Source organism: Homo sapiens, chromosome 1 (assembly GCF_000001405.40).
Source record: "Homo sapiens chromosome 1, GRCh38.p14 Primary Assembly".
Taxonomy (NCBI): domain Eukaryota; kingdom Metazoa; phylum Chordata; class Mammalia; order Primates; family Hominidae; genus Homo; species Homo sapiens.
The window spans coordinates 52,207,729-52,228,125 of record NC_000001.11 but is presented as its reverse complement, the minus strand read 5'-3'; the positions used below and the strand labels follow the sequence as shown (position 1 = coordinate 52,228,125).

The 20,397-nt window shown below is 42.0% G+C and overlaps 1 protein-coding gene across 5 annotated transcripts in view, besides 2 other annotated features; it reads right to left on the bottom strand.

Annotated features, from left to right (window-relative positions):
* ZFYVE9 (zinc finger FYVE-type containing 9) overlaps nucleotides 1-20,397 on the bottom strand; it is a 204,546-nt gene that overhangs the window by 118,509 nt on the left and 65,640 nt on the right. For all 5 annotated transcript variants that reach the window (NM_004799.4, NM_007324.5, XM_047434682.1 and 2 more), the window contains exon 2: nucleotides 11,652-11,757. The gene's annotated coding sequence lies outside the window, so the exon portion shown is untranslated. The remainder of the gene's footprint in view (nucleotides 1-11,651; nucleotides 11,758-20,397) is intronic.
* Nucleotides 9,837-10,009: a silencer, noted in NCBI's record as "fragment chr1:52683789-52683961 (GRCh37/hg19 assembly coordinates)". NCBI's record gives its function as "represses an EF-1alpha promoter that drives an FKBP-Casp9 reporter gene in an ReSE screen in K562 erythroleukemia cells {active_cell/tissue: K562}" and the evidence as "EXISTENCE:reporter gene assay evidence [ECO:0000049][PMID:32094911]".
* Nucleotides 10,963-11,163: a silencer, noted in NCBI's record as "peak226 fragment used in MPRA reporter construct". NCBI's record gives its function as "represses an SCP1 promoter by STARR-seq MPRAs in K562 erythroleukemia cells {active_cell/tissue: K562}" and the evidence as "EXISTENCE:reporter gene assay evidence [ECO:0000049][PMID:32103011]".

The following is a 20,397-nucleotide window of genomic DNA, read 5'->3' as shown; positions in this document are numbered from 1 at the left end:
GCCTCAGCAACAGAGTGAGACCCTGTCTCAAAAATAAATAAATAAAAAAATTCTAAATAAAATATTTTAAAAGAGTTTAAACAGTCAAATTCAAAAGCAAGAAAGGGAAATACACAGATGCCATAAACCTAGAAGGAAAGCAGGAACTGAAGAGTGGCAGTCCATAGGAGTATCAAAACTAGACAGCAACCTTTAAGCCTGGGTTTTGAAAGGTAGCAGGAAGAATAAGAATTACTGGCTGCAAACATAGAAATTTATGCACCAGAGGGGCTAAACTGAGCTTTCTACATGAAGCCAGGAGCTACAGAAAAAGTCCCCTCCATGGTCCCAAGACTCAGCAATGGAGCAGGATGGAATAGAGTGCCAATAAAATAAACCATGAGAAATTAGAATTCCTAACCTAGTCCTCACTCAGGAGAAAGAATGATATTAAGTCTTCTCATCCAGGAACATACTAGGGTTTGCCTTTATGCTAACCCAGCTCTTCCTATGAGTTTTAACAGTGTTTTTAACTTTAAAAAGTCATTAAATATTGGATAGTCAGGGGAGAGGGTACATGCAACTACAAAGGAGTAGCAATAAGGATCTCTGTGGTGATAGAATTATGCTGTATCTTAACTGTGATGGTGAATACACAGCTGCAAAGGCTGATTGGACTGTGACATCACAGCTGTGGCTACTACAGAAGGGAAAAATGGATTTTGGTGACTTTGGTGGATAACTGATAGTTTTTGCTACAATGGGTGGAAACTTCCTTAGGCAACGCCTGAAGGATGAGATTTTGGCAAGTGAAGGCAGAAAAGAGGGCACTATCTTCTCACACTCCCATGTGAAAAGGCTAAAGGAGGAGAAATAGCTTGCCAACTGCAGACTCAGAGTTTTGGTGAAGAAGGCATTGCTGCCAAGTACCTCTGCTCCACCCTCAACTGAAGAGAAAAGTGGCTCAGTTTCCTATTAAACACTGCTGGTCCCACCATGCCTTTCCTTACAGCTTACATGGAAAAGTCAGATAACTCAACCAGAGTATGCAACATTCCATTAGTGAGTAGTGTAATCAGTTTTTGTAACCTTTCTCACCTATATACCCTCCACCATTTTCTACCCCTTCTGAAAGGAAAATCTTGGGGCCCCAAAATCACTAAGCTAAAGGGAAAAGTCAAGCTGGGAACTGCTTAGGGCAAACATCCCTCCCATTCTATTCAAAGTTACCCTTCTGCTCAATGAGATAAATGCACATCTGTTGCCTCCTTTGGAGAGGCTAATCAGAAATTCAAAAGAATGCAATCATTTGTCTTTTATCTACCTATGATCTGGAAGCCCACTCCCTGCTTCCAGTAGTCCTGCCTTTGCTTTGAATTGTCCCGCCTTTCCGGACAGAACCAATGTTCATCTTACATATGTTGATTGATGTCTCATGTCTCCCTAAAATGTATAAAACCAAGTTGTGCTCTGAGAACCCTGGGCACGTGTTGTCAGTGATACAGGAGTTAAGAAGAAATCACTTAGGCAGATAGTAAGGGTACGAGAGTCCTCAGTAAGGCTTTTCTTTTTAATGAAAAGTAGCCCCAAATCATTTTCTTTTTTCTTTTTGAGACAGAGTCTCACTCTGCTACCCAGGCTGGAGTGCAGTGGCATGATCTCGGCTCACTGCAACCTCTGCCTCCTGGGTTCAAGCGATTCTCCTGCCTCAGCCTCCCGAGTAGCTGGGATTACAGGCTTGTGCCACCATGCCCGGCTAATTTTTGTATTTTTAGTAGAGATGGGGTTTCACCACGTTGGCCAGGCTGGAAATCATTTTCTAACAAAGAGCAGTCTGTGAAGTCGAGCTGCAGACACAGACAAGGAAGCTGGGAGCTTGCACGGGTGAATGCCAGCAGGAACTAGGGACTAGACATGCTCAAGATGGAGGCTCCATCTTCCCTTCTCTGCCAGCCACATGTACAGTAAGGAGCAGATAAGATGGCACCTGCCAAGGAGAAAGTTCGTTTGCATAATAAGATTAGGGTGGGGCAACCAGCCTTCCCTGCATGCTATGTAAACTTCATACCTGATCGAACCAATCTGTGAGCTCTACATAAATCAGACACCGCCTCCTCAAGCTGGACTATAAAATCCGGCGCATCCACCACCTGCCAGTCTTTTCCCTCGGAAGACCCGTCTCTCTCAATAGAGAGAGCTGTTTTTCTTTCTCCTTTCTTCTGTTTATTAAACCTCTGCTCCTAAACTCCTCGTGTGTGTCGGTGTCCTAAATTTTCCTGGCACAAGACGATGAACCTTGGGTGTATACCTCAGACAACACAGTTGCTTCATCAGGACCTCTTGGGTGTCCTCAACCTTGGCAAAATAAACTTTCTAAATAAACTGAGACCTGTCCCAGATGTTGGGACAATTTAGTTCCTCTTCAAAGACTCAACTTCCTGGTCATAAGTTGTAAACAATCCTACCCCTTCTTCTGTTAAGCCTAACTGTTTCTTCTTTACCGCCACCCCTTCACAAATCACACTTTTACCCTATTTGGAAAAGTTTAAGCCTTGGCCAATCGGGATCAGCTTAGATTGTGCAGTCCGACCCATCCAACATGGGAAAGACACAGAAACAGGAACTGTGTTAGGGTTAAAAACCCCTTCCTTCGTTTGGTGTGCTCTTGTATTTGTAACAGGCATAAGCAGCACCCTTCGGCAGAAGTAAAGTTCCTTGCTGAGAAAACTTCTAAATGCGGGTTTCTTTTCACTACACTGAGCACTTGTTTCCAACAAATCTGGGGGCTTGTCCAGGATCCCATTCTCCTTTGGGAGGGGCTAGTGATTATCTTTCATGGGGAGACGCATCCCACTGCCTCGTTGTGGTGGCCCCAGGAGTGGAGGATCGAATCTCGCCCAAAGTGACGAATAAATCCGGACTCTCAGCAACATGGGCTATAGGGAGGATCCCTAAGAATTCCTCAGTGACCAGATAACTCTGTGCATAGACCAAGGTAAGAAACGTCACTATTGGGGCAACAAAGTATTCCTTGGTGGTTGGGATCTCTGTAGGTTGAAAGTGTGTGAGTGAGACACGCCATTGGGTGCGAAGCGAGTGTGGAGTCCGGACTCGGTTCTGTGGTCACCTTGTAGGTCTTAGGGCAGTTTTCCAGTCAGGGGATTACACCAACCCACCAATACTAAGAGGAACCTAAAATTCTCACGAGGGAAGCAGCCAATAAGGACAAAGTGGGTGCTCACAAGAGTGCAAGAAACCTCCAGTGGGAAAAGGGGAGGTTCAGCCTCTAGGACACGGGAGTGCAAGAAATCTCTAATACGAGACATTTAGCCTCACCAACCGCCAGGATGGGAAATACCCCAAGTAAGACAGGGACTATAAAAGGCCAAGCAGACAATAAAATTCCCCCTGACAGTCCCCTATGCCTTATGTTAAAATACTGGAAGGATAATGAAAGGACAAAACACAAGAAAAGACAGCGTATGATAAAGTATTGCTGTTTTTATTTGGACTAAGGAACCCACCCTCAGACCTTCAGTCTTTTGGCCAGAGTTTGGGTAAAATGAGGACTGGATATGTCAACTCCTGATCCAGTAAGTCAATGATAAAAGTCCAGTTTCTCAAGAGGAGACAGATGATGCTCTATGTTGGAGAAAAAGACCTGTCCTTCTCTATCCCCTAAAGGATGAGAAAGCAAAGCCAAATTCAATACCTCCCAAAGACGACCTACCTAAGTCAAATTCTGTATCTAAAGATGCATGGGATCCTCTAGACCACCTTCCCCTGCCTACCCCTCCACCCTAAGTGGAACACTCAGTCCTTCCCCTCCCTACCCCTCCACCCCAAGCTGAACACTCAGTTCCTCTCCCATATAACCCTGCCCCATGGGCCATGCCACCCCACATCCCCGCTGGACAGCCACCTGAACATGCCCCTTCCTCAGGAAAGCTCCAATGGGAAATAGACAATGCCAAAGGGATATCCAAAACTTTCCTTTCCTCCCTTCCTCAAAGAAGTCTACCCCAACCCTTTTTCCCTTAAGGGAAGTACCACTAGGAGGAGGGGATATTGGCTTTGTAAATGCCCCCTTAACTAGTTCAGAGGTTAGAAATCTAAAAAAGGAACTCAAACCACTGTTAGACGACCCTTTTGGAATCGCAGATCAAACTGGACAGTCTCTGGAGCCACAACTGTACACTTGGGCTGAATTAATGTCTATCCTAGTTATTCTCTTCTCAGGAAAGGAAAGAACCATGATCTTCAGGGCTGCCATGATAGTCTGGGAGCGCAAACACCCTCCTGTTCAAAATGTCCTTGCAGCAGAGCATAAATTCCTGGCCCAGGACCCTCAGTGGGATAACAATAATGAAGCCCACTGAGAAAACATGAGAGATCTCAGGGACATGATAATTAAAGGGATTTGGGAATCAGCTCCTTGAACCCTAATGTTTCCTGAGCATTTAATGTACAACAAGGGAAAGATGAAAGGCCCATAGAATTCTTAGACTTAAGGAACAGATAAGAAAATATGCAGGTTTAGACATAGAGGACCCACTGGGACAAGGAATGTTAAAGCTCCACTTTGTCACCAATAGTTGGCCAGACATTACAAAAAAAATACAAAAGATAGAAAATTGGAAAGACCATCCCATAGAGGAACTTTTAAGAGGCCCAAAAGGTGTATGTAGAGAGGGATGAGGAAAGGCAGAAGCAAAAGGCAAAGATTATGCCTGTCCACCCTACAACAGGGAACTCTTCAACAGGGAGCCCAGGAGAATAGAACTTGTAGACCTTCTAAGCACCTGGCTGTCTGACCCCTATACAGGAAGCAAAGGGATGAAACCTGAGAGTCAGGGAACAGGGAGGGGGAGAAGGGAAAACAGATGTTTCTAGTGTGGAAAGCCAGGACATTTTAAGAGGGAATGTCCTGAATGGGAGAGGGAAAAGAAAGTCCTTCCACTCATGACATTTGAAGAAGAATAGCGGGGTCAGGTACTCTACATCTTCCATCTTGAGTCCCACCAAGAGCCCCTGATAAATTTAATGGTGGGACCCAAATCAGAGATAGTCACTTTCTTAGTCGATTCAGGAGCAGCTCGCTTTCCCTATGTTTTCTCCCATCAGGCTTAGCATTTTCAGCAGAAAACCATACTGTCTCAGGGTTTATAGGGGAAGGATTCAGGGCAAAAATTCTAGAGGAAACCAAAGTCAAATATAAGAATAAGTCGGCCACTACTAAGTTCTTATTAATTCCCAAAGCAGGAACTAATTTATTAGGAAGGGACTTAATGTTAAGGTTAGGCATAGGCCTATACGTTAATCAGGGAAAACTTACTTCCTTAAACCTGGTCACCACTTCGGAAGAAAGCCAAATCCATCCCGACATATGGTCAAAGGAAGGAAATCGAGGAAAGCTACAGGTTCCTCCAATCCATGCCAAATTAAAAACTACCAGGGAAGCAGTAAAAACAAAACAATACCCTATTCCCTTGGAAGCCAGGATAGGTTTAAAACATATAATTGAAAGCCTTGTCCACGATGGACTCCTTGAACCCTGTATGCCCCCTTATAACACTCCAATATTGCCTGTAAGGAAGCCAGACAGGTCATCCCGGCTAGTGCAAGACCTCCAGGCTATTAATCAAATAGTTCAAACCGCCCACCCTGTTGTTCCCAATCCTTACACCATTGTCAGTAGAATCCCATACAACCACCAATGGTTCATGGTGATAGATTTAAAAGATGCCTTTTGGGCTTGCCCTTCAGCAGAAGATAGTCGGGACATGTTTGCCTTTGAGTAGGAGGACCCTGACTCTGATAGAAAACAACAGTACTGATGGACAGTCTTGCCCCAAGGGTTCACAGAGTCCCCAGATCTATTTGGTCAAATATTAGAACAAGTTCTAGAAAATTTCTCCCTGCCTTCATCCATATGCCTTCTCCAATATGTGGATGACCTGCTCATCTCAGGAGATAACAAGGATCAAGTAACAGCAATTTCAGTTAACTTCCTAAATTTCCTAAGGGAACAAGGGTTACAGGTCTCAAAGAATAAACTCCAATTCGTAGAACCTGAGGTGAAATACCTAGGACACCTAATCAGTAAAGGCAAACGAAAGATAGGACCCAAACAAATTGAAGGTATGGTATCTTTGCCTTTACCTGAAACAAAGCAGGAACTTAGGAAATTCTCAGGATTGGTTGGATATTGTCATCTGTGGATTAACTCTTATGCCTTAAAAACAAAGCCCCTATATCAAAAACTCACTCAAGAAAGACCAGACCCTGTAAACCCTCCTCTGGACCCCATCAGAGATCCAACAGGTAGAAGAAATAAAACACCTACTTGTAACAGCCCCCATTCTGGCCTTGCCCTCCTTAGAACAGCCATTCCACCTTTTTGTTAATATAAGCAAAGGAGTGGCCTTAGGAGTACTCACCCACAAACACGGAGGCCACCAATGGCCCGTAGCCTTCCTGTCAAAAATCCTTGACCCCGTAACCCGTGGATGGCCCGAATGTGTCCAATCCATAGCAGCAACTGCCTTGCTAACAGAAGAAAGCAGGAAAATAACCTTTGGGGGAAACCTCATCATAAGTACCCCTCATCAAGTCAGAACTATTCTTAATCAGAAGGCAGAGAGATGGCTTACTGACTCAAGAATTTTAAAATATGAAGTTATCTTATTAGAGAGGGATGACCTAACACTAACCACTGACAATTCACTCAACCCCGCTGCTTTCCTAACAGGAAATCCAAACCCAGAAGAATCTACGCATAAATGCTTAGATCTAATCAGTTCTCAAACTAGAGTCAGACTGGATCTAAGCAAAACCCCTTTCCAAACAGGGCATCACCTCTTTACAGATGGTTCCCCCCGGATCATTGAAGGAAAAAGGTACAACAGGTACTCCACAGTTGATGGGGAAATCCTCACAGAGGTAGAGTCAGGAAGACTGCCAAATAACTGGTCTGCCCAAACTGTGAATTCTTTGCATTAAACCAAGCCTTAAAATCCCTGCAGAATCAAGAAGGAACTATTTACACTGACTCCAAGTATGCCTTCAGAGTAGTCCATACCTTTGGAAAAATCTGGACTGAACGAGGCTTCATCAATAGTAAGGGCCAAGATTTGGTCCACAAAAAATTAATTTTGCAAGTATTAGAAAATCTTCAGCTGCCAGAAGAAATTGCAGTTGTCCATGTCCCAGGACACCAAAAGAATCCATCTTTTGAAAGCCAGGGAAATAACCTTGCAGATCAAACAGCTAAGCAAGCTGCCTCTTCTGAAAAGGCACCCATTTTCCATCTATCCCTTTGTTTCCCCCTCCAGCTGCGATCCCCATCTTCTCCCACGTAGACCTTTCTCTAAAGAAAATAGGAGCTCAGGAGAGCCCAGAGGGAAAGCAGGCATTACCAGATGGAAGGGAAATGCTGTCTAAGCCCCTCATGAGGGAAATATTGTCACAGCTTCATCCAGGAACTCACTGGGGTCCTCAAGCTATGTGCAATGTAGCCCTCAGAGTCTATGGGTGTATAGAGTACTAGGCAAGTGGAAGATGGTTGCATCATGTGCAGAAAAACTAGTAAGGAAACCCTAAAGAAGCAGCCTCCCACGGGAAGAAACCCAGGGTTAAGGCCATTCCAAAGCATCCAAGTTGATTAAACTGAAATGCCCCCAATCGGCTGCCTCAAGTATTTACTAGTCATAGTAGACCATCTCACCCACTGGGTAGAAGCCATACCCTTCCCAAGCACAACTGCCAGTAATGTAGTCAAAGCACTGTTGGAACATATCATATCCAGGTTTGGACTAATAGAGAACACTGATTCAGACAATGAGACTCACTTCACTGCACACATCATTAAGGGGCTAACCCAAGCACTAGGAATAAAATGGGAATATCATACTCCCTGGCATCCACCTTCATCAGGGAGGGTAGAAAGAATTAATCAAACTCTAAAAAATCACCTAACCAAATTAATCTTGGAAATCCAGTTACCATGGACAAAATGCCTTCCCATTGCCTTACTAAGAATCCAAACTGCCCCTCAAAAAGATCTTGGCCTGGCAGGGTGTGGTGGCTCACACCTGTAATCCCAGCACTTTGGGAGGCCAAGGAGGGTGGATCACAAGGTCAGGAGTTCGAGACCAGCCTGGCCAATATGGTGAAACCCCGTCTCTACTAAAAATACAAAAATTAGCCGGGCGTGGTGGCTGGTGCCTGTAGTCCCAGCTACTCAGGAGGCCAAGGCAGGAGAATTGCTTGAACCTGGGAGGTGCAGGTTGCAGTGAGCCAAGATCACTGCACTCCAGCCCGGGCGACAGAGTAAGACTCTGCCACACACACACACACACACACACACACACACACACACACACACACACACACACAAAAGATCTTGGCCTGAAATGCTCTATGGGCTGCCTTATCTAAATTCCACTACTGACCTTCCCACATTTGAAACAAAAGATCAGTTTCTAAAAATATATATATTTGGTCTGTCTTCCACCCTTTCCTCCCTCAGGACTCAAGGCCTCCTAGCGCAAACTCCACCCCTCGAATTCCCAATTCACCGACACCAGCCCAGAGATCACGTCCTTATCATATGTTGGAAAGAAGGAAAGCTTGAACCAACCTGGGAAGGACCTTATCTAATACTCCTTATCTAATACTCCTAACCACTGAGACAGCAATCTGAACGGCCAAAAAAGCATGGACCCACCACACTGGGCTAAAAGGGGCCGCAACCATTGCAAAGTCATGGACCATCATTCCAGGATCAATACCCTCCAAACTAACATTCAAAAAGGTTTAATCTGTCTTTTTATTCTTCCTTTAGCTACCCAAGGACACCTTATTATCAATGTAACCCGATCACCCTCCCCACAATTACATTCGATGCCTGTCTTGTCATACCCTGTGGAAACCTCCATAGTCAAAGACAGCTAGCTTCTTCAGAAAAGTACCTCTGCCCCCCATCCCCAGAAAAACCAGCACCACCCCCGACCCTTGCAATCAACGACCACAAGCCTTCCAGGGGTTATGTTATAGTTGGGGAGATATTATCTGGACCACGAAATATCAGGGCTGGACCTCCTCAGAGGGTCGCACCGCCCTAAAACCCTACCTCCACTTCACCAAAGGAACCACCCCCTCAAATTGCCAAAACCACCAGTGTAACCCAGTACTTCTCTCTATTCCTATCCCCACCTCCACTGACCCTATCCCCACTTTAGAGCACCTTTATGGCCTAGGAGCAGATGTCACTGCAAAAGACCCTACAGGCATCTTTGAAATGAGGTTTGCTCCTCCTCCTCCATCTCCCCCCATTACCCGCTTCCCAAAACCACAAAAATCAAACCATTTCTCGCTTCATGCCTACTGACAAAACCAAAGTAGCTATAGTAGAAGTTAAGGATTTACAGCAAACCCTAGCCATAGAAACCAGTTATCAAGATGTAAATGCCTAGCTGGAATTGATTAAATATTCCATTCGCACCCTAAATAAAACAGATTGTTACGCTTGTGCAACAGGCAGGCCAGAAACCCAAACTGTTCCCCTCCCACTCGGATGGGCCAATCCATCAGGCAAAGACTGTATGGTAGCTCTCTTCCAGCACCCCACAGCCTGGGGAAACATGTCATGTGCCACTCACTCACTATTTTCCCCAAAGGTCAGGACCCCTATGGGACAGCCCCCAAGGGCCATTCAACTTCCAGCTCTCGATGCCAATTTTACCTTGTGTCTTTCACAACAAGGGGAAAATTTGACATTCCTTGGAAACCTGATGGGATGTAGTGGGCCTAAACCTTTTCAAGAGATAACCAATCAGTCAGCCCTAGTCCATCCCCGAGAGGATGTATGGTGGTATTGTGGGGGACCAATATTTGGTACACTGCCAAGCAACTGGAGTGGCACTTGTGCTCTGATTCAACTGGCCATGGCTTTCACCATGGCATTTCATCAGGAAGCAGGTAACCAGAAGAAAAAAAGAAGCCCCAATAAATGGGTCCTTTGACCCTCAAGTTTACATAGACAGCATCAGGGTCCTGCGGAGGGTACCAAATGAATTCAAAGCTCAAAACCAAATAGCCGCCAGGTTCGAGTCTATCTTATTCTGGTGGTCCACTATAAACAAAAACGTAGACTGGATAAATCACATATACTACAATCAGCAGCAATTCATCAATTATACCAGAGATGCCATAAAAGGAATCGCTGAAACTAGGCCCCATCAGCCAGATGGTCTGGGAAAACAGAATAACCCTTGACATGGTGTTGGCCAAAAAAGGCAGAGTCTATGTCATGATCACGGTCCAGTGTTGTACTTTTATTCCTAATAATACAGCCCCTGATGGGACAATCATAAAAGCCTTACAAGGCCTTACCACCCTAGCAAATCAATTAGCCAAAAACTCTGGAATAGACGACCCCTTTACAGGCCTAATGGAAAGGTGGTTTGGAAAATGGAAGGGACTCATGACCTCAATCTTTACTTCCCTTGCAATTGTTAAAGATGTACTCATCCTTGTCGGTTGCTGTATCATACCTTGTATTCGTGGGTTAACCCAAAGGCTCATAGAAGCAGCTCTCACAAAAACCTCCCCAACCTCTCCCCCTCCGTACTCAGATAAGCTCTCGCACCTTGATAATCAAGAAGAACAACAAAGCCAGATCCTGTTAAAGAAATCTGAAGATGAAGAACTGTAAGACAGAAGAGGGGAAATTGTTGGGACGACTTGAGTTCCTCTTCAAAGACTCAACTTCCTGGTCATAAGTTGTAAACAATCCTACCCCCGCTTCTGTTAAGTCTAACCATTTCTTCTTTACCCACCCCGCCCCTTCACAAATCTCACATTTACCCTGTTTGGAAAAGTTTAAGCCTTGGCTAGTTGGGATCAGCTTAGATTGTGCAATCCAACCCTAGCCAATAGGGAAAAGATACAGAAACAGGAACTGTGTTAGGGTTAAAAACCCCTTCCTTCCTTTGTTCGGTGTGCTCTTGCATTTGTAATAGGTGCAAGCAGCACCCTTCTGCAGAAGTAAAAGTGCCTTGCTGAGAAAATTTCTGTCTAAGTGCGGGTTTCTTTTGGCTACATCAAGCACTTGTTTCCAACACAGATATTGGGGGTTCACACCCTTAAATAATCTTAAGACTTGAAAAAAAACAACATGACTCCTAGTTAGGAAAAAGACAAGGATTCCTGTTCTACAAGAATACTTCCAGTTTTCTGCTGGAAATTATTGCTCTACATAATAACTTACCTAAAAATACAAAATAAAATAACATAATTAAATTTACATTTCTGATTCCCCATCACCAAATTAGCTTTACTTGTTTAGCTCTTGCATGAGCTTAAATATTGCTCAAATCCATATTTTTTCTGAAATTACCTTTCTATGGTCAACAAACTCTAAAACGAAGGAGCCAGCACTGGGAGGGAAATTAACATTGTGACCATTGTGACACAAAATAACAGTGATTTTTAAATACCCTTTTCCTCTGAATTTAAGTCAAATCTTTTTGAAAAAAAGCATACTCCTGATTTAATAAGACACAATGTTATAAATGATGCAAGTAACATATATGCATCAGCATTATCTTCTATAGATCTCATTGGTTTCTCAAGTTCAATCTCTAAGAGAAATAAAAACATTTTCTTACCTTTTTCCCCTTACACACGTGATAAGGAACAGACTTCTCGGTGCTTACTCATGATGTCTGCTGCACCACCAGCCAGTCCTGCTGATTCAGTATGCTCTGTTTGATCCTAAAGGAAAAACACATTGCTCATTACACTTGCTGAAACAATAAGCCCTCATTTTCTTCATATAAATCTACCATAGCCAGACAAATGAAAGCAATAGGGCTGAAACAGTAGATAAAATTATACCTTTGGATTCAAAGACCTGGCTTGCATACAAGGTAGCAACAGAGACATTTTATTGTCTGAAAGGCCAAAAGTTAAATGTTTCAATGAAGAAGAGTTTTTGCACGTTTATTTTCAATGGATAATGCAAAGTGAGAAACATCAACAGCAGGCACTTTCTACCCAATGACTTTAATTGTGTTAATTCATAAGTATATAATTTGCCTTATAATAGGCCCTCCAAGAATCCAAAGCTAAGAAAACTGCTGCTTCACAAGAATGTCCTTCTAGTGTGATTTTTTTTCTATACATGTAGAATTCTTGAGTTTCACAAGTTTCCAGTTGTGATTTTTATTGCCAAACTGTTTTTTTTCTCCAAATGGAGTCTCTTGATTCCAGTCCTCCTCCAACTGCTTAGAAGCAATGGATCTATTAACCCAGTATTAACCTTCACTATCAGGCATGCATGCAAAAGACAAAGGCTCTTCAAATATTGCTTCCTTCTTGTGAAAATACGACAATATCCATTAAGTTATGGTAGCCCAACTATAACTGCTTAGAGACAATGTAAAATTCTTTAAGGGCCTAATTTAGCCTTGAACAAGATTAGTAGTTGAAGCTAATCAGAATAAAACTAAGACTATGAATATTATATTATCAGTATAAAATATCTAACACATAATCATAGTATTTTCAGAACACGTAAGTATCTTGGAGATAATTTAATGAACACTACTTAATTTTAAAGATAAACTGAGGCAGCAAGAAAAATTTCCTGACATTACAAATATTCTATTATCAGATGTGAAAATGATATGCTTAATAAAAAATAAGAGAATAAGTAAAAGGCCTAAAATTCAAGTTTCCAAGACCCAATGAAGAATAAAGAATGAAAATCACTGGTAAAAGATTTCCCTGTCTTGAGAACTAGAAAAATATGCACATGCTATGATATACTCTAAATGAGAAGAGCTACTGACACTAAGAAACAGATTTATATCTATTAAATAAAGGACTAAGTCATATCAGAAGTATGAAAGAATAAAAATACAAACCAAGGTCAAAATGAGAATGAAAGTAAAGTAACCACTCCTCTAATACCTAGCTGATTAAAGATTTTCTTAAACAAAATTAACTCTATAGATTCAAGGTCAAATCATATATATAGTTTTTCAATATGTGAGGCAAGTCCAATAATAGATAATTTTATATATCAACTTGACTGAGACATGGGGTACTCAAATTAAATACTATTTCTGGGTATGTCTGTGAGGGTGTTTCTGGATGAGCTAATCTCATTTGAATCAGTGTACTGAATAAAACAGATTGCCCTCCCCAGTGTGACCAGACATGATCCAATCCATTGAGGACGTGAATAAAATAAGGCTTGAGGAAGAGGGAATTCTCTCTGATTGGTTGAGCTGGGACATCAATCCTCTGCCCTCAGAATGGGACTTACATCATTGGCCCTCTAGTCTCAGAATGACACCACCAGCTTTCCTGGGTCTCCAGCTTGCAGACAGCAGATTGGGAAACTTCTCAGCCTCTATAAATGTGTGAGCCAATTCCTTATAATAAATTTAAACACACACACACACACCCCTCCATATACTATTGGTTCTGTTTCTTTACAGAACCCTAATACAAATAATATTACAGGTTTTTCTATTGGAATTATATTCCAGTCTCAGCTGGCAAAGCCTCAACTCTAGCTAAATCCAACCATCCACCTACTACATACATTCCCCTAAGTAGCTGAAATCTGGCTGGTGGAAAATCACACAAGACCACTAGTGGCTAGTCTCAACTTTACTATTTTATTTTATTTTATTTCATTATTTTTGAGATGGAGTCTCACTCAATCACCCAGGCTGGAATGTAATGGTGCAATCTTGGCTCACTGCAACCTCCACCTCCCAGGTTCAAGAAGTTCTCGTGCCTCAGCCTCCTGAGTAGCTGGGATTACAGGCATCTGCCACCAGGCCCAGCTAATTTTTGTATGTTTAGTAGAGAAAGGGTTTCACTGTGTTACCCAGGCTGGTCTCAAACTACTGACCTCAAGAGATCTGCCTGCCTCAGCCTCCCAAAGTGCTGGGATTACAGGCATGAGGCACCGCGCCCGGCCACATTTATAACTTTACATTTTCCTTAATCTACTTTCAACCTGCACCTCATCCCCTCCTGATATGCTTGGTATCCTTCAATTCAAAGTATCCTCTATTCAATTCTTCCAGAAAATAAACTTCTAGACCCCTGCAGGATGAAGGGGAAAGTTACTTGGCTACATAGGATTCTGCAAAACTAATCATTCTTTGTATCATATTCCAGCCAATCTACTTTCAGTACCACACCTCACCTAAGCCCTTAGAGAACCTTGGAGTCTCTATATCACAAATCTCTCTAAGGTGCTGTGGGGCTTCTCAACATATCTTCCTCCGCAGGCAAGCAGCTTATTGCGTCTTCAGTTTGAAGACCTTCACTCTTTCCATTTACTGAAACCTTTCATCCACTGTTATCTCCTCTTCTGTTCTTACTTCTTACCATTTTATGAGGGTTTCAAGAAAGAAAGAAAATAAATGGTGTGTGTGAGGAAGGGTCAATAAATCCTCTTTTTTTTTTGAGACACAGTCTTGCTCTGTCGCCAGGCTGGAGTGCAGTGACACGATCTCGGCTCACTGCAACCTCCACCTCCCGGGTTCAAGCAATTCTCCTGCCTCAGACTCCTGAGTAGCTGGGACTACAGATGCACGCCACCAGGCCCGGCTAATTTTTTTGTATTTTAGTAGAGACAGGGTTTCACTATGTTGCCCAGGCTGGTCTCAAACTCCTGAGCTCAGGCAATCCGCCCACCTCAGCCTCCCAAAGTGCTAGGATTACAGACGTGAGCCACCGCACCTGGCCTCATCCTGTTTAATTGTAAGTCTCCATTCTTACCTTTGAGAAGTGACATACAATAAAATAAAATTATTGCATTCATTCTTAAAAGTAGACTTAAAGTTGCTAATGCCCTAATAAATAAAGAAATAGTTCAGAAAAATAAAGGAAGGGAAAGGGAGACACAGAGAGAAACCAACAAGCAATATGTAGTGAAAAGAAGAATTCCATCACCTCCCATGGAGAATATGCTTCTCAGATAAAGAGACAAATAACGCCAGTACTTTTTACCCAGAATGAGCATTACAGTAATGACTTATTCATTGCCTTTTGACATTACAGAATCATTTTTTGGAAGGAACAAAAGAAGTTTAGTAAATGGATAGATGGATAGGTATACAACATAAAACAGTACAAATGTCTTCAATACAGTTCAAGATACATGAGAGGAAAACAAAGAATTTCACAGAACTCCTCTAATATTCCACTCAAATGTCATCTCCCAATGTGAAATTAATAATTACAATAATTAATCACATAGTTCTCTGTGTTCCCATAATGTTTATATTTCACATTACATGTAATTTCTCTCTTTACAAAACGACTACACTAAACCATAAGTTCACCCAAGACAGGAAACCCTTTTTATTCATACTTTTATTCCAAGGCCCCAGCACAATTCTTTTCACATAGTAGTATTCAAAATATGTGGAATGATTTAATTATTTAATTAAGTATAGCATATAACACACTACCATGGCAAAGATTCCAAAGAAGTTCCTAATTTCATCACCCTCATCCCATTTCTACAACTGCCTTAGCTTAGGCCCTCATCAGTTCTCGCCTAGAGTGGTTCATATAGTTACCAAACTAGTGTTATTGCCTTCATTTCTCTATAAAATATATCCTTCATAATCTTAACTGAAATAGCTTTCTAAAATCATAAATCTGGCCAGGTGCAGTGGCTCACACCTTAATCCCAGCACTTTGGGAGGCCAAGGTGGGTGGCTCACTTGAGGCCAGGAGAGTTCAAAACCAGCCTGGCCAGCATGGCAAGGCCCCATCTCTACTAAAAATACAAAAATTAGCCAGGCATAGTGGCATGTGCCTGTAGTCCCAGCTATTTGGGAGACTGAGGCAGGAGGACAACTTGAGCCTGGGAGGTGGAGGTTGCAGTGAGCTGTGATCATGACACTGCACTCCAGCCTGGGCAACAGAGTCAGACCTTGTCTCAAAAAAATAAATAAATAAAAATAAATGTTTTACTTTGAAATATAAAAACTGAAAAGCAAAGGGAATGGGAAAGATAAGGATCTAAAAAGATTATCTCCCTGGGATGTATAACAGAAGACTAAAATTTTAACTGTAATATGAAGGAACGTTAAAGAACCATCATTTAAAATTAAGAAACAAAGATTTTAGTTCTTACATAAACTTATAAGGAAAGGTCACAGGTATAAAGATGATGCTTAAAATATAAAATGCAAGAAATTCATAGGAATCTCTGATATGAACATGTTTATAACAGAAGAATTATTTGTGAGGGTGAAAATTTCCAAAATCCTGGCCATAGATTTTAAAAAAGAAAATAAAATGATGATATGTTTGAAAATATTATCAGTTAAAGATGTTTCCTATCTTGGCTGTGATTAATACTATTCTCTGTAAACAAATTCAGTATCTGACCAGTAATCAAACTCTTAAATTTTATTTTATTTCTTAGAGATGGGGTCTCGCAGTGTTGACAAGGCTAGACTCAAACTCCTGGGCTCAAGTGTTCCTCCGGCCTCAGCCTCCTGAGGCTGGGAGTAGCTACGACTGCAGGTACACACCACTGTACCCGGCTCAGTAAAGAAACTTCTTAACATTTCTGCCAGAAAGTCTGACAAAGTGTTCAAACTCAACAGGTACAAAATCACATTCAATCTTCCAAGTCCCCTCTTTCTGTTCCCAATCTTAGTCTGAGCAGGGTTCTCAGGTAGGGATGGCAGATTGTATTTTTTTAAATGGCTGCTACTATATCTCCCATCCCACATGATTTTTTAATGTGATTGTGACGTAGCACCTGTGACTCAGGTGTCACAGTCACATTAAGAAGATAGTGTGGGATGGGTGATTTCAACTGAGTGGTGAAATCTATGTCTCCTTCCTCTAAACCTGGGCAGACATTCACAACTACCTCATCTAATGGAGTATAACAAAGGGGAAACTATGTAACTTCCAAGACCAGGTCATGAAAGGTAATACAGTTTCTGACCACTCCTTTTGGGACACTCACTCTTGGAACCCAGTAACCATGCCAGAGAAACCACACGGAAAGCCCACATTTCGGTGATCTGCCCCATGAATCTCTACACATGTGAATGAGCAAGCCTCAAGATGACTCTAGCCCAGCCACTGTCTGACTACAACTGCATGAAAACCCTAAGAGAGAAATACCTGGCCAGGGGCGGTGGCTCACACCTGTAATCCCAGCACTTTGGGAGGCCAAGGTGGGCAGATTACCTGAGATCAGAAGTTCGAGAAGAACCTGGCCAACATGGCGAAACCCCGTCTCTACTAAAAATACAAAAATTAGCCAGCTGTGGTGGCAGGCACCTGTAGTCCCAGCTACTCGGGAGGCTGAGGCATGAGAATCTCCTGAACCCAGGAGGTGGAGGTTGCAGTGAGCCAAGATTGCACCACTGCACTCCAGCCTGGGCAACACAGTGAGACTATGTCTCAAAAAAATAGAGAGAGAGAGAACCACCTAATTAAGTAAGCCCAATCAATCCCCAGAACCATGAGAGATAATTAAATTGTTATTTTAAACCACTACATTTTGGTGTAATTCAAATGGAACAGCAGGTTAGTAATCTGATAGTCTCCAAACCAATCTCATATAAACATTTTAAAGAGAAGAATAAAAACCTTAATAGGGACAGGGAAAAAAGATGACCCACTGATGGTAGCCACTCAATAAAACAAGCTTTGGGTCTCTTAGAGTACAGTTTAGGAAACAACTAATGTTACTCAGGCAAAAAGCGAGGTAAGAGAGGGGTTTTACTCCATCTACAGTAGCTTATCAAAGTTTTCCTCCAACCCACATACACTGCTACTAAGTAGGGTTCCAGTAAATGCATTTTTTCTGACTCATTAATGTTCCAGTGCCATTTTACTACTTATATATTGGCACCGCAGGAACTTACCTAGCAGCCAGCTCCTTAATGAGTAAGTGCATTATCATCCACTTGTCTCATAAACTCAGAAACTTAAGTACAATTCTAGATACTATCCTCTCCTCCCAACTCTACATTCAATCGAACATCAAGTCTTATCAATCTTACCTCTTAAATCTTTCAAATCCATCCACTTCTCTCCATTCCCACTGCCATATCCCATAATGCCTCCATCTTTCTGTTGCCTAGATTTTTGCAAGAATCCTAGTCTCCCTGCCCCCTGTTTTGTACCCATCTAGCCTATTCTCCACACAAATACAAAACCCAAATCTGATTGTATCATTTCCATACTTAACATCATTCAATGTCATCCTATTGCCCTTAGGATAAAGTCCATACTTCCATAACATAGCTGACAATGTTCTGTTCTGTTTGATTTGGTTTCTGCTTACTTCTCTAGTATGACATCTTATTCTCTATTCTCAAATTCTTACTCTATGCAGTAGTCATCTTGATCAACACAAACCCTCAATTCTCAATCTTGCCTATTTTCCAAAACACACCTTCATACCAATACATGCTACAACATGAATGGACCTTGAAAACATTATGCTAAGTGAAAGAAGCCAGTCATAAACAACCACATATTATGTGGCTCTATTAATATGAAATGTCCAGAATAGGCACGTCCACAGAGACAGAAAGTGTATTAGTGTTGCCAGGGGCTGGGGAGAGGAGGAAATGGCGTGTGACTACTAATGGGTAGGGAGTTTTTGGGGTGATGAAAATGTTCTGGAATTATAAATGGTGATGGTTACACAACTCTGTGAATATACTGAAAACCACTGAATGTGTGCTTTAAAAGTGAATTTTATGATATATGAATTCTATCTTAAAAACCAGTTAAAAAAAAAGTCTTCATCCATATTATTTTTTAAGCCTTGAACCCTCTCCAAACTTTGCCCCTGCCATTGTCAGTTGACTCTTACTTGTCCTCCTCATTCTATCCAAGACATCACTTCTTCCATTAAGTCCTTCTGATCTAGGTCTGAGATAGGTGCCCCTTCGATCTTGTGTACCTTTTACCCCTATCAGAGCACTTATGAACTGATCCATGATTTTTCTAAAACTGTCTCTCCCTTCCAGACTATTAAGGTTTCTCAGGATAGAGATTGCTTCTTTTGTCATTGTATCCCTAGTGTATGATACCATGGATAATACACAGCATGTGCTCACTACTTGTAAATCAAATTAAAATAACTAAAGGATTTACTTTCGAAGAACTTCCACCTGGGAAATAGTCCCATACAAAGGATCCCAAGAGTTGTACTGGGACCACTAAAACTTCAATGTACTTACTATTTCAAAGTTTATTAATGCCAACACATACTAAAGAACAATTCAAGGCCGGGCATGGTAGTTCATGCCTGTAATCCCAACAATTTGGGAGGCCAAGGCGGGTGGATCACCTGAGGTCAGGAGTTCAAGACCAGCCTGACTGACATGGAGAAACCCCGTCTCTACTAAAAATACAAAATTAGTCAGGCATGGTGGTGCATGCCTGTAATCCCAGCTACTCAGGAGGCTAAGGCAGGAGAATCACCTGAACTCGGGAGGCAGAGGTTGCGGTGGGCCAAGATTGCGCCGGGCTGAGATCGCGCCAGGCCAAGATCACGCCATTGCACTCCAGCCTGGGCAACAAGAGCAAAACTCCGTCTCAAAAAAAAAAAAAAAAGAAGAACAATTCAGACTTAAACCATGTTTTCTCAAGGTTTTGTGCTGTCTATTCACAATCACAACTTATCAGAAAGTTCCTATTAGTTCGATATTTTACCTTTAAAGAAAGAAAAAGTATGATTCAAGAGTGTGACTACAGCAATGGAATATCTGGCAAAACTGAGTCTGGAATTTTAAATCAACCATTAGCAATATGGAACATACCTGGCTTGATATTTAATCCAAATGAACATCTTTTATGAAGAGTCACTGGAGTTTGGTAGAAGCAACACTGGTACAAAAATCTGGCTGATCCAGGCTTGAATTCATGTTCTATTATTTATTTTATTATTATTATATTTTAATAGAGACAGGTTTCTGCTGTGTTGCCCAGGCTTGTCTGGAACTCCTGGGATCAAGCAATCCTCCTGCCTTGGCCTCCCAAAGTGCTGGGATTACAGGCATGGGCCACCATACCCGGCCCATGCTATATTGTTTAATAGCTGTTGCTACTTTGAGCAAGATAACCTCTCTGAATCTCAGTTTCTTTACACTTTATATGAAAACTATACTTTGCGGGATATTTTTAATGATGATGAAGGTATTTATATAAAGTGCCTTGCACAGACCTGATATGTAACTGCTCAATAAATGATAGCTATTATTATTCATCATCAAAAAAGCAATTTGTGTGAAAGAATTAGAACAGAAAGGCAAAGATGCAATTTGAACCATGAAACCAATCAGTGGACTAGTTTGTTTATACAATTAATAATCCATTAGGGCAACTGGT